We start from the raw sequence: 13,877 nt of genomic DNA, 5'->3' as shown, positions 1-13,877 counted from the left end.
AGAAGATACGTTTTACCCTGTGGGCACTGAAGACAGGGCCAGGTTTCTAGGGCTCTATAATCTTTTTAACTATTTTTGGCTACAGGTCAAGTGTAGATGTGTCAGGGGTCATAGACCTCTGAATCCTGCAGGACAAACCTGAAGCTATCTGCTTCATGGAGTTAAATGTTCATCAGATTTGCATTTCTCCCTTAAAACCTTGTCACTGGAAACCTGGGTGGAAGTCTGGCCCAGTGCAGAAGCCACCAGACTCTCCTGCCAGCTCCAGAGGCTGTCTTAGGATCCAGAGCCCCTTGCTTAATCCTGTTTTCTCTGCTGTGCTGGAAGAAAGTCCCATTCCTGGGTAATTGCCAGAAGAAAGGCTCCGTCTTAAGGTTAAAGGAGCTAGAATCACAAGGGGAATCAGTAAACCCAGTTCCCAGGCCAGGGACCCAAGCTTTGGGATGAGCGATCTGGTCTTCAAGGCCAAAATGCTTGCTCACCAGCTTTCTTTCTCCTCCACACTCTGTCCAGGTTTGGGGGCACTGTCTTAGGCCCCTTTGACGTCATCAGCACAAGAGACTCAGAGCAAGGAACAAAACTGCCTGTACTCGCCAGGGCTCCTGATGCTATCGTCTCGTAGGAAACCCTGAATGAGGTCTGGGCAGGTGAAAAGCCTTCCTGTTTGTCCTCTCAATTAGTCACACTTGGTTCTGAGCCAAGCCGTCTGCTCCCATGTTAATCCCCAGCCTGGGAGGGCAGGCTGCAGCCGGCAGGGCTTGCACAACCCGCAGTCCAGGCTGCAAGGTGGCTTCTCTTCCCTGTATTTTGCAGCCCCGGCCCTTACTCAGCACACACTTTCTTGTTTCTGAGTCCTTCCAAAACATTCTGGTCTGGGCTGTACTTTGTGCTGTTTGGGAGAGGCACCCCTCACCTCAGAGGGCAGCTGGAGACCTCCTGTGTGAGGAGGGCTTGGCCTCCTTCCTGGGGTCTCTGCTGCTCAGGCAGGGGGCTCCCTCTCCCTCTCCATGTGCTTGTGGGTGGGGGCAGAGGTCCCGGCCTTGTCTCATGTAGAAGAGATGGTTCCAGGCCACATAGGCCTGAGCTGGTCTGCTGCATGGAGTGGCCTGACCACCAAGCAGAGAGCAGGAACGGCAGGGGCAGTGCTTGTGCTTCGGGGTTTTTAGGGATTTATGAATGTGCACACCAAGAACAGCAAACAAACCAAAGTTCAAGTTATTTCTCTTTCTTACAAGTCTGCATGAATATAGTCTCTTCCAGAGGAAGTTGATTAAACTCTATTGCACCAGCCTCTGAAGAATGCATAGTATGAAATAGCAGAGCATTTCTTGTGGCTCCCAGATCTGCCACCTGCAGTGGGGCCAGGCTACCCGACAGCTCCCAGGCCTCTGGGCACCATAGCTGTCTTCAGGTGCTCCAGCTCAGGACATGGCCATTCAGAGGCAAGAATCAGCAAGCTCCTTCCAGGCTGGGGCACATCCTGAAGCCCCATCAGAGCAGCCCCATACAGTGGCTTAGGGGTGTGGGCTTGTGTCCTCCTCATGGAGGAGGGGAGCACGTTTTCCCAGCAGCTCAGGTTTCCAGGGCCCCCCCACCTTCCAGGTGTGACAGTTTTTCATACTTAAAACATCACTCAACTATCAGAGTGGTATACTGGGGAGAGGCAGGGCTGTGACAGAGAGCTGAAGTGGTGTGCAACAGTCACAAACAGCTTTCACCTTTGACCTTGGAACATGTGATGTGTTTTGCCCAAGTTTTCATTTCTCCCTGATTGCATTTAGCTTGGGATCTTGTTAAAATTCGTCTGCATTTCCATAGCATACCCTGAGCACTCAAGAGGCAGGACAAGGGGTTCTAGCCAGGGACCCAGATGTTCCTGCAGACATTGCACACTGGAGGCAAGCGACGCCACCAGGGTGAGGCTGTCCTGATGCAGCATCCCCAAAGAGGCTGGGCCAGGGCAGCAGATTTTCCCTGCAACAGGGCATGGGGCTCCTCCTGTCCCCTGCCCCTTGGGCCTGGGCCTCACAGTGTGGACTTGTCTGAGGTTTACCTGGTGCTCCGTGGCGTCATGAAAGCCTGTTCCTCAGGTGTCTCTGCCATTTACCCCTCTGTCCTCTAGAGAGCACCCATTGGGTGACAGGCCGACAAGGGTCTTGCAGAATCTTTGGTCTGGCACCCTGAGAGCTTGGAGCTCTAGGGTCTTTCTCCATATGACACCAACAGGCCTGTCTCTTGCGGAGTGATGGGTCTGGGCGCCGGACACTTCTTATGCCTCCTCACAGCTTCCACACTTATCTTTGCGCCAGCCACTGTTGTATGCAGGTGTGACCAACAGCCCCTTTTGCCCTCTCCTGGGCTTTTCAGATTGGGCAGGGTGAGATACCAGGACCATACCAGGCCAGCACTCCTATAAGCAAGGCATGTGCAGACAAGCTCCATTCTCCCCAGCTCCTCAGAGGGTCACTGAAGGACAGAGCCTCAGTTGTCCATGGAGGAGACCAACTCAAGATGCAACTTTGGGGCTGACATTTCCTCCTTTCTGCTCCCTTGGCCATTCCTCTTCCTGGGGGTGGTTTCTAAAAACCACAACAGAGCTTTATGCGTAGGAAAAGCCCTGCCTTGGGCTCTGCTCCAGTGGAAGCCAGGTCCAGGAGGAAGTCCTGTGTTCCTGCCCCAGTGCAGGTCAAAGTATGTATCCCTGATCATTCATGCACTGGCTACGTAATTTACACTTATCAAGCCCAAACAACCTGAGGAATGAAATGCACAAGCCAGTAAGCACATGGGGCAGCAACCCAGCTCTCTACAGGGCAAGTCCCCCTCCCCGTCCCCTGCAGGGCTCTCCAAAATGCTGGGCACAGTGAGTGTGACAGATCAATATCAGAACTCTGTGCTCTGGCCCTGGGTCAGACCCTACAGATTCAGGGATCCACAGATCAGGGGGTTGGACTCAAACCAGTCATCAGAATACTTAGCAGATGTTTTCTAAGAGCTAGTGTGTGCAGGCACCACGTATGGCCTGTTATCTGAATGGTCTCACATGCGCCTCCCTATACACATTCAAATTCAGTTGAATACAGGTATTCAACTTAGCAACGATTATTATTCTATAGATGAGGACACAGATTTTGAGGTTAAATTCTAGAAAGAGTGGCTGGGGTTTGAATTGGGCAGTTGATGGTAGATGCTGGCCATAATGGAAAGATTTTGGGGCTTAGAGTGAAGCACTGATGCGGAGGGGACACTTTTGGTAGGAAGGGGCTCTGGCAGTCAGGGTGGTGTCTGAGCTGGACTTTGAAGGACACACACGCTCTGCCAAGGAGTCAGAGAAGGAGCTGTGGTAGGAAGAGGGGCTTCTGGGCAGAGGGATAGGATGTGCACCCGCAGGGTGTCACTTGGAGGGGAGGTTGGGGCCAGTAGGCTGGGAGGGCCAGCGTGGCCTCGTGGTTTCTGTACCTTGTGCCCCCACCAGGCTGTGTTCTTTACGTCCCCAGTGTCTGGACCAAATAAGTGCCGTGTCCAATAAATGTTGCTGAACTCAAGTGAAGGCCACTTTCCAGGAGGACAGAAAGTTCTAGAGGGAGGCTGTCCCAGAAGGAAGTTGGGGAAACAGGAGGATACCTAGCTTTGGTCTTGTTCTGTTGGGGTTGGCTTTTTCTTTTCCTTATTTTTTTGTTTTTTTCTTTTTTAGGGACAGGGTCTCACTCTGTCTTCCAGGCTGGAGTGCAGTGCCACAGTCATAGCTCACTGAAGCCTTGAACTTCTTGGCTCAAGCGATCCTCCCACCTCAGCCTCCCAAGTAGCTGGCACTACAGGTGTGTGCCATCACACCTGGATAATTTTAATATTTTTTTGTAGAGATGGGGGTCTCACTATGTTGCCTAGGCTGGTCTCAAGCTCCTAGCCAGGGCCTCCCAGAGTACTAAGATTACAGGCTGAATTTTTCTTTTCTTTCCTATCTTTTTAGAACGTCTGAGATATGTTTCACAGTGGATGGCCAGATAAATTGGTCTGTTGAGGCTTAATTGTTTGGATAATGACCAGGCCTCCATTGGTCACCCAGTGTGGATGACTCACCACCACATTGTGGAAGAAGGATTGTATGTGTTGGGGTTGTGAGCCCAGAAAAGGGAGAAGAGCAAGGCCTCCCAGTTCTCTCTCCAGAAATTCAAGGTCGTTGGACCAGCTTCTCAACCCAGCATTTCTTGTCTTGCCACCTGGGAAGCAGTGGCTGTCACACTTTGACAGGGTTAGTGCAGCAGGAATGACAGAAACAAGCCCATGGTTGCCTTCTTTCTTGGCAAAAATCACCTCAGCATAAATGCTTTTTCTCTCATTATGGCCGGGTATAAAGGGCTGAGCAACCCTGGCCCCGTGTGTGGGAGAAACTGGCTGGATGTGAAGAATGGGGAGGACAGAGAGGCCAGCTGCAAGGTCATGAGGGCTGGCAGAAGCCTGTGTGGAGGGCACTGTCTGAACTTTATACAGAGGGCGGACCTTCTCCTTGGCAACAGAATGTTCTAGCATCATACTGGAGCCTCCCACTGCCCTTGGACAGGCTGCACCTGAGCTCAGTTCCTCCTGGAGCTCAGCCATCCATTCCCAGCCCTCAAGACCAGCCATCACCAAAGGCCTGCTCTTCCTAGAAAGTTGTCACTAGAATTTTTTGGAAGGCCTAATCCTTTCTTGGGATTTGGGAGGGCTGAGTATCTCCCTAAGCATCGGCTTGACACCTGCATCTGTTTTCACGTTTAGGATGATAGGCCATTCAAGTTGGAGGCGAATGGTTACTGCAGCATTTTGGGGCACTCGTTTCTTATCCCCTTGTGTCCCAAGCCCCTCTTCTCCAGTTCACTGGTTGGGATCTGCCCTGGCCCTGAGGATCAGGAAAGGGTCTGTGAACTGGAGGAGGCTGAGGGAGGCCCCCAGAGGGGCCCTAGCCGGAGTCATGCTCTGGGCAGTCTCGAGGGCGATTTGGGATGAGCATAGCTGGGAGCTGGGGCCCTGGACAGGCTCGAGGACCTGTGCCCAGGAACCTCTGGAGTTCGAGGGTGGGTACCTGGTGCTGGGTGGGGGTGGCTGCGTTTACGTATGAGTGTATGCACGTGTGTGCACACACATAGGCTTGTGAGTGTGTGGGGGTTTGTGCATGTGTGTGCACGTGTATGAGTGTATGAATGTGTGCACGCGTGTGCGAGTTGCAACTCCACAGAGAGCTTCACAGAGCCCCTCTGTCAGGAGCCTTCTCTCCCAGTGTGCCACCATGGGGTTCTCTGAAATGGGGTTCTCTGTGCCTCTCGTGCCTTGCCTGCTCTCGGAGGAGCTGCTCCATGGCTACTCGCCTTGTGCACAGATGTGTGTCAGTCATGGTGCTTTCATCTGAGTGGGGACAGTTCAGAAAGGAAATGCCCTGGCTGCCCCTGTCGCCCCTCATCAGCTTCTCTTTGTGGCCTCAGCCACCTGGTGCTAGCTTCTGGGCAACCTGAACTAATCCTGGTGGTGGCCCTTCCAGGCCGCCCAGCCCCTTGGCCTTGCCACCCCTCTGAAAAGTCCCTTTGGGAACCCCTTGCCTGCATGTTTCTACTTTTCTTCTCACTGGTTCTAAGACCACATCCCAGCAAGCTGGCCCCACACCCGGACCTGGCACAGCTGGTCCTGCCCATTGGCACAGCAGCCCCCTGTGCCTCACCCCGGCTGGCCCCCTTCCTCCCTAGAAAACTTCCATGGCAGCACCGTGTTAGAGCCACTCTGTTAGGAACACCCTTCATGTTCTCACTGCTTGCCCACTATTGCGCTTATCTGGCAAAGCTGGCCCTGGTGTCACTCAGCTCTGCCTCTTCTGGGCTGTCCTATGCAGCTGCACCGTGGCTGGGAACAGCTGCTCCATCTCAGGAAACATTGACAGCACACATCCCCCATCAGTCCACTCCTGCCCTTCGGATACCAGCACCCCTTCTGCCACCCCCTGCCTCCCCTGACACTCGGATACACTGGGGTCAAAGTTCCCCTGCCCCCAGCACCAGTGCTTCCTCCTCCTTTCGCCTGAGCCAGCTCCCTCCCAGGTCTCCTCCAACCACGCTGGCCTCCTTTCTTGGGTATCTCACTATGGGCACTGCCCTGGGCTGGACCCATCTCCAGAGCAGCCCCCACACTCAGCTCCAGCATCAAATGCCAACAAATTCTGATCAGTGTAAATCTTTTTCTTTGGCACATTTGGATGCTAAACAGATGTTTCATGCTTAATGTGGCTGCATCATATATGGCGAGGAACTGGCTTATGCAACTGTGGGGGTGCTGGTTAGGCAAGTCTGAAATCCAGGGCAGGCGGGAGGCTGGAAACTCTCAGGCTGGAGCTGACACTGAGTCCATGGGAGGAATCTCTCCTTCCTCAGGGAAGTTTCCGTGTGGTTCTCAAGGCCTTCAGCTATTGACAGGAGGTCCACCCAGATGTTTGAGGACAAGCTCCTTTACTTGAAGTCACCCGGAGCTACCACATGCCCTCCCAGCAACTCCTAGAGTAAGAGTTTGACTGAGTAGCGGGGTTCTGTGTCCAGGCCCTGTGGACTCAGAAACAGCAGAGCCATTTGGTTTCCTCCTTCAGTTTCTGTCTCACCAGACTGTTTTTCCACCCTCAGTCATTCTCTCTCCAGTGGCTTGTTGGATCTTTTAGAAATAGAAATCAGAGCAGTCATTCCTTCCCTGGCTGAAACTTCCCAGTGCCTCCCCAAGGTACCAGGAGTCAGCTGGGCTGAGCCCGTGCTCTGGGCCACACTGTACCTGCTGACTCAGCTAGCCTGAATGGTTTGGGGTTTCCCTTCCCTGCTGCTGTCTGAGTCAGTGTCGGGAGTGAGCATGTGTCACCCACCAAGGACCCTGCCTGTTGGCTCCCTCTAGTCACACCTGTTCAGACTTGTCTGTTTTGGGGCTGTAGCAGGGAGGGGGTTGGGGCTGAGGGAGGAAGGCTCTGACCCAACGCAAGCTGCTGATGGGCCAAGCACTCAAGCTGAACAGACCTGCCTGGCTCCTCTCTGGCTGTTGGAACCTCACCAGACCTCACATCCTTTCTGCCCTTGAATTGTGAAGGTTCCCCTGGGGACCTTCTGGAAAAGTCTGTAAAGCACCCCCCTCTCCCGGATGGATAGCCCCATCCTGGGCCCCGTCCTCTCCTGTACTGATCACCTGGCTGGTATCAGTCAGTGGCTGCCTTGCAGGGAGGCTGTTAAAAGGCTCATGGGAGCCTGAAGTTTCTCTTTTGAAGCAGCTCTTCCTGCCTTCCCCCTGTGGCCTCGATTTGTTCTCTGGCTCCATGTAAGGGCACCTTCTGAGTCTCAGCAGAGCCTCAGCAAGCGGTGTTGGTGCCGTAAGGGACCCTCATCAACTGCGTCAGCCGATGTCTCCCAGCCTGTGTCTGTGAATGTTAGCTTCTTGGGATTGTGGAGTCCTAATTAGGGAAAAGGAGTCAGGCTGGCAGGACCAAGGGCAAGCAAAAAGAGAAAGCAGATAAGCTATAGAGTTGACTTTCTTCATGGTCCAGGACACGCAGGCCTCCTGCTCAGGTAACTCATGATCTTCCTGGGCCGAGCTATGGCCAGACACCTCCAAGTTAGCTCCTGGCTGCCTTGGCGTTATTAGTTCTGCACGTCGCCCTCTGCAGCCTAAGAACCACCCTATAAAATCCCCAGCAAGCCTTTGTTTCTTTGCAGTTGGCTCCTCTTCTGCTGATTCTGCCCATTGCAACCTTGGAATGCGTTTTCATACTTTCTCTCATAAATCTGCCTTTCTTTGCCTACAACTGTCTTGGTAAATTCTTTTACCCCAGTACCACCGGCCCAGATTGTTGCTGCTCACCCACCACAGGGATGTTACCTGATGTTGCAGATCAGTTGGCACCAGGGGCAGAGGAGCCTAGAAGCCCTGTTGCTCTCTCAGAGATTCACAACAGGTGCCAGTTAAAGGCTCTGAGAAATCCACAGCAGAGACACCTGCTTACTCTGCTTGGCCCAGCATTTCCCAGGCCCGTCTGACCATCGGGCCACCCTAGTCCAGCCCCTTCTAGTCTGTGGAGCATGAGTTGGGAATCACTGATCCCGACCAGACTTTCAATTTGCAGGAAATGTAAAGGAAACAGAGGTGTCAGAGGTTCAGGGACTCCCCGAGGCTTGTATAAAAGTCAAGAGTGACGTCGGCCAGGGGACAGTGTGCAGTGGCAAGGAAGGCATCCACAGGGTGTCCCAAGGAGGTCATGCCAGCTGGTGTGAGGATGCAGGGCAGATGGCAAGCTCTTGTGCCCAGGGGACAGTACAGGGCTGAAAAGGGACAGTATGATGTGCAGCTGTGGATCTAAGACTCACAGGTGAGAGGAACCTCCAGCTCACCCTGTCTGTTCTTGGAGCGTTCTCACTGTTTAAAGTTCTCCGCACGGAGTTGAAAACGCCTTTGTCTTACTCTTCCCCTGTCATCCTGGCTATGTCTTCGGGAGCTGCAGAGACGAGTTTTGGTCCCTCTCACACCTGGCAGATTCTTGAGCATCTGAAGATGGCTTTCCTCTCCCCTCCTTCTCACCAGCAGCAACGGCGCTTCACAGAAGACACTAGGGAAGACAGCCCTGGAAGAGTGACTCCTCAAGAATAATTGCCTCCTGGAGGGAGTGCTGTCCTGAGGCCCTAGCTCTGACCCACAGCAGGGTCTGGTCCATAGGAAAGAAAAGCCACCTCACCTACTTTCCCCACGTACCCCTGGGCCGGGCAGAGAGTAGAGGATCCTCGGCAGGACTTTGCATTCGCCCTGTGGATTTGCATGGGCTCTTCTCTTGTGCGTGCACATGCAGGATGTCGCCACCAGACTGTACCCACCTACCTCCAGAGGGGCCTCCTCTGGAGCACTCATTCAGAAGGATGCTCGTCGGGGGACTCTCCTGCTGGACACCTCTGTCCCTGGGGGGCCTCGCCTGCTGGACACTGGACACCGGACATCTCTGTCCCTGGGAGGCTTCTTCTACCGGACATCTCTATCCCTGGGGGTCTCACCTGCCAGACAACGCTGTTCCTCGGGGGCCTCTCCTGCTGGACACCACTGTTGTTCAGGGGACCTCACCTGCCAGACACCTTTGTTCTGGGGGCTTCACCTGCTGGGCTCTGCTGTTCCTGAGGGCCTCTCCTGCTGGGCTCTGCTGTTCATGGGAGGCCTCACCTGCTGGGCTCTGCCGTTCTTGGGGATCCTTGCCTGGGAGTTTGAGCATCTCATGAGTCTGGTTTTCATTCTGTTGAGGCCAGTGGGGTAGACAGAGGGTGGCCCCATCCAGGTGTTCCTCCCAGGGTTGGGAAAGAACAGAGAAGCCTGAGGAGGGGCCTCCCTGCCTAGCTCAGGGCCCTACCAGCCACCCACTGCTGTGCCAGGGCCAGGACATTTCCTGGGCTCAGGAAGCCGACCTGAACGCTAATGCTGTACCCTGCAGAGTGGGTCAGAGCGTTTCATCATGGAGCTTCACCACGTGTTTCTGAGACGGGCTGGAGAAAAGGAGATGAGCGTTAGGAATGGTTGCCACAGCAATAACTCAGAGTGGGATCTAAGAGAAAGGACTTCCTTCTTCCTGCATGTGCATTTGCAACTGCCTACTCCGTGGGCACAGGGGAGGCTGCTGGCCTGGGTTCCAGGTGTTCATCAGGAACAAGGGGTCACACAGGCTAGATTACACCCTGAAACCTCCCTCTGGCTCTCAGGTGTGACGCTGCATCTGCGACCAGGAACTCGGGGATGAGGGGCAGAGTGGGGGCCTCCTGATGCCCCAGGCTTCCAGCACTGAGTATGGAGTACACCTCACCCCTGGGGCTCCTGGAAGCCTTTCCCATCCTGGGCACAACCACGAATTCCTCTCTGGGTAATTCAGCAGTGAAAGGCATCTGCTCTTCATTGAAGAGCAGCTTGACTTATGCTCTTCATTGAAGGTAGCTGTGCACAGACCTCAAGCCTGAAGGGTCTAAGGTGTCTTGTGAGCACCGGCTCAGCTCACAGCAGTTGGGAGATGATCCCTCAGGCTGGGTGGGAGAGAACTCAGTGTGAAAGACACAGCCCAGAGCGGCCGCTGTCTTGTAGCGGGATTTTTTAAGGAATCAGAGAAACTGATGGGGTACAGGAGGATATTTATTATTTAGGTGCACTAGCCCAGTCGGATTAACATCCAAACGACTGAGTCCCAAACAAAGAGTTAAGTTACCTTTTAAGCATCTCATGGGGCGGGGGGAGATCTGTACAGGGGGAAGCATATTACACAAGCGAGAAACAAAGACAGTTATTTAATTAATTGAGACATGCATTATGTCATTTCTTACTTTTTAAGGAGAAACATGTTTTGCGACTTGAGTTTATCTGTGACCTTGCAGCTGCACAGCTAGGGAATCAGGGTCTCCACAATGCCTGGGAAAGGGAGAGATAAAGCTCACTAGCCACAGAAAAACAGGCAGTTAATTTTTAAAGGACTCCAGCTCTGTCTCTTTCTCAGGGGGAATTGGGTTTTCTTACAACTGAGTTTCTGCTTACACGTTCTTTAATTTCTTTTAATTCCTGTTCCAGTCTCACAGGGGCGTTTTAAAGTGAAAGAGCCAGGTGACTGCTGTCTCAGCAGTGGAGACCTTGCCACGCGTGCTCTGTGAGGGCAGGACCGGCTGTCCTTTAGCCTGGCACAGCAAGGAGTGGTCCAGGGTGGTGCAGTGCCAGGGTGCTGTTGTCGCCGTCTCTCAGCCTGCAGAAGGAGTGGGGGGTGGTGGAGCCAGGCTGTCTTGGTGGGTGCTTGCCTCTGGCGTGTTGTGCTTCTGCCCTGGCCTGTCTAGATGGGATGAGTCGTGGTCTTCTGGAGAGAGCCTTGCCTGCCCTTGTGGGTTGTTTTGAATGGCCATGTCTGTGTGCCTCGGGGGCCTGCGGTGGCTGTGGGGCATCACTGATGTGCTTCTATCTTGTACAGATGCTGCAGCACTGAGTTACTTGGCTGAGAGGGAGGGAGGGGCGGTGGGTCTGCAAGCAGCTGTTCTGACGCTGATGCTGCCCAGGGCTTCTGCACCCACGGGGCTGTTCTTGGTGTTTCAGTTCGCTTGTTCCTTGAGGCTGCACTGTCCTGCTGGCCACAGGCCTGTGAGAACAGGGCTGGCCTATCCTGGCTCTGACCTTCGAGTGCCAGTCCAGGGTCTGTGTCATCACAGGCCACATGTGTGTCTTGCTGACTGCGCCTGTGAGGGGCCAGTTGGCCGGCCTGGCCTTGTGGTCACCATAGTCTGGCCGGCTCTGCCCCTGCCCAACGCTCTGTCCTCCCGAGCCTGGGCTTTGGTGCACACTGGCCTCCTGAGTGCTGGGTACCCCAGTCCACTTTGGGCCACTGAAGAACCCTGCCATTTGGGTCCAGCTTGCATTTGCTCAGTTTGTTTTGGGGTACCCCTTGAGGCCCCTCCCTGCCTTGTGAGATCAATGACTCCCCACAGAGGTGTCCTTTGTGGTTGTCATTTGCGCAGATGGGTCCCTTGGAGCTTGTGGTGTGTCCTAAGTCACGAGCAGGAGGCAGGGCCTCTCCCCAGTGGTGCTTTTCTGGGAAGGGTTTCTCCCGCGAAGGAAGAGCCGGCACACTCGGCAGGAGTGGGGCAGACCCGGGCTGCCTTTCCCCAGAGCAGGGCACCAAGCGAATAGCCGCGGACCTGCAGCAGTGAGGAGTCTTCAACAGGACCCAAGAGTGCCAGCCAAAGAGGAAAGGGTTGGTACGATCTGAAAGTTTGCCAGCTAAGAACACATGCTTACCAAAACCACCTGAAAGAAATTTAAATAAAAAATCCTACCAATCAGTAAGAAAAAAGACCTACAACCCAATGGAGAAACATACATATGTGACTGGCAGGCATTTCTCAGTGATTTGGCTGGCAAACATGGGAAGAGATGGTCAACCACATTAGTCTCCAGGGACACGCAAACCTGGATGGTAAGGAGACCACTGTGCACCCACCAGATTGGCCGAACCTCGGAAGTCCAACCTGTCGAGCCTGAGCGGGATGTGGCTCTCTCCCAGTGCTTCTGGGGGAGCAGCGGTCTGAATATTTGGGAAACCCGTTTGGCACTATGTGTGACGTTGAACATCATGTGCCCTTTCTACAGCAGGTTCCCTGCAGGCACCCCCAGGAGAAGCTCGAGCATGTGCTCACATCTCAGGGCAGTTCTGTTGGGAGCAGCCCCAAGCCAGACACAGCCCAGTGCCATCCCAGAGTTAAGGAGCACTTCATGGCGTGCTGCACGCGGAAACCCCACACAGCTCTGGCCACGGTGAGCGAAGGCCACAGCGACAGCACCAGTGCTGCATAGCGTTAAGACTGAGTGAAAATGACAAGTCCCGAAGACTCTGTGTGACTCCGTCCCATACAGCTTGGAAACAAGCACAACAAGCCGTGTGTTTTTCAGCAAGTGTGTGTATATGTGTTAAAACTTTTAAGAAAAAGGAGAAGGAGAAAACTCCAGATGGAGGTTGCCAGGCAGGGTGGGAATGGGAGAGAAAGAAGCATGTTGATTGCTTTCTCTGCTGTCCACTTCTTGGAGTGGGGTAGGTTCACAAGTGCTCATCACGTTATTAAAATGAACGGATGAAAATACAAGGGAGCCTTACATGAACAAACGATGAACCAAGGATGGCATCAGTTCACTTGAGCCCCAGGATCCCGAGAGAAAGGCAGTGAGGACGCGCGGGTCCATCCCGAAGAAACGGCCACAGTGTGTTCCTTTGCGGTTTCCCATTATCCGCCACGGCGGGGCAGGAGTACAGAGGGCCCCGCCACATGGGGACCCACAGCCTCCATCTTTACTTCTTCCCCTCATCTGCGGGCACGGGGCTTGTAAAGTTGGGGCCTCTCCTCCTTCCTCCCCCAGAATGGCTGATGCGTGTGAACGAATGCCTGGCTCTGGTAGGGGCTGCCTGCCAGGCCTATGTTCTGAGCGTGTCCACCCTGTGTGCCTGCATGAGGCTTCGGTGGATTGCTTTCTATCCTCAGAGCAACTAGGTGAGGGCGCAGTCACCATGTCCCGAGACGGGGAGATGGAGGCCGGGCGAGCTCCGGGGCAGGCGGGCGGATGGGAGCCCCTGTGATGTGGGCGCTGGCAGGCTGAGCGCCACCTCATGGCAGGCAGCACCCCTCCTTCCTTGGTTTCTCCGCAGCGGAGGCCCTCAGTCCTCCTGCAGCCTCCACCACTCCTCACACCACAGCCAGAGAACTGTGTAGGCCTTCAAAAGCCCCAGCGAGTCTCCCGTGCAGCCAGTGGGGGTTCTGGGTGACACAGGTTCTGCAGGCTCTGGGCCTGTTCTCTCTGGAAGGTTCCAGGACAGAGTGCAGGATCCAGGAGGGGAAGGGAGACTTGTCCCCGTTTGTGGCTGGGGAATGTGAAGCACAGCAGGGTGGTGGCGTTCCCCCAGGGCCCAGGCTGCTGGGAGGCTCATGATTCTTGTCTCTGCTCCCTGCCGGTTCTGGGAACAAAGGAAACCGGGGAAGCTGGGCGTTTCCGAGAGAAGTTTCTTCAGAAACCCAGATTGGGTGTTGGACATAAATCTGGAGGAGTCTGCCTCGTCTCCTGGGCTGTGACCTTGTGGAGCAAAGGTGGCGGGAAGCGGAAGCAGAGGCAGGCGGCCCAAGGTGCAGAGCGGGCCAGCGGGGTCCTGCTGCCCCTACTGTCCCCAGGAACCACTGCCTGGGAGCAGCTTCCGTCAACACCCCAGGCCAGAGGCGAAGGCCTCCCTACCATAAACCTACCATAATCCCAGTGTGGTGTTGAAATTAGGATAGACAGTGTATCAGTGGAACACAATGAGTCCACAAATAGACCCACAGATACAGACACACATTTCCAACAAAGATTCA

At 54.4% G+C, this 13,877-nt stretch overlaps 1 protein-coding gene across 11 annotated transcripts in view, besides 4 other annotated features; it reads left to right on the top strand.

The window, feature by feature from the left end:
• The window catches only part of HSF2BP (heat shock transcription factor 2 binding protein), a 214,517-nt gene that overhangs the window by 141,773 nt on the left and 58,867 nt on the right, over nucleotides 1-13,877 (top strand). The gene's annotated exons all lie outside the window — the stretch shown is intronic.
• Nucleotides 5,674-6,369: an enhancer, noted in NCBI's record as "H3K27ac-H3K4me1 hESC enhancer chr21:44931227-44931922 (GRCh37/hg19 assembly coordinates)". NCBI's record gives its function as "activates a minimal SCP1, AML or CMV promoter by ChIP-STARR-seq in naive H9 embryonic stem cells {active_cell/tissue: H9 hESC(naive)}" and the evidence as "EXISTENCE:reporter gene assay evidence [ECO:0000049][PMID:30033119]".
• Nucleotides 9,050-9,551: an enhancer, noted in NCBI's record as "H3K4me1 hESC enhancer chr21:44928045-44928546 (GRCh37/hg19 assembly coordinates)". NCBI's record gives its function as "activates a minimal SCP1, AML or CMV promoter by ChIP-STARR-seq in naive H9 embryonic stem cells {active_cell/tissue: H9 hESC(naive)}" and the evidence as "EXISTENCE:reporter gene assay evidence [ECO:0000049][PMID:30033119]".
• Nucleotides 12,559-13,169: an enhancer, noted in NCBI's record as "H3K4me1 hESC enhancer chr21:44924427-44925037 (GRCh37/hg19 assembly coordinates)". NCBI's record gives its function as "activates a minimal SCP1, AML or CMV promoter by ChIP-STARR-seq in primed H9 embryonic stem cells {active_cell/tissue: H9 hESC(primed)}" and the evidence as "EXISTENCE:reporter gene assay evidence [ECO:0000049][PMID:30033119]".
• Nucleotides 13,170-13,782: an enhancer, noted in NCBI's record as "H3K4me1 hESC enhancer chr21:44923814-44924426 (GRCh37/hg19 assembly coordinates)". NCBI's record gives its function as "activates a minimal SCP1, AML or CMV promoter by ChIP-STARR-seq in naive H9 embryonic stem cells {active_cell/tissue: H9 hESC(naive)}" and the evidence as "EXISTENCE:reporter gene assay evidence [ECO:0000049][PMID:30033119]".

Source organism: Homo sapiens, chromosome 21 (genome assembly GCF_000001405.40).
Source record: "Homo sapiens chromosome 21, GRCh38.p14 Primary Assembly".
Lineage (NCBI taxonomy): Eukaryota > Metazoa > Chordata > Mammalia > Primates > Hominidae > Homo > Homo sapiens.
Note: the sequence above shows the minus strand (reverse complement) of the source record. Positions and strands in the feature narration are given on the sequence as shown.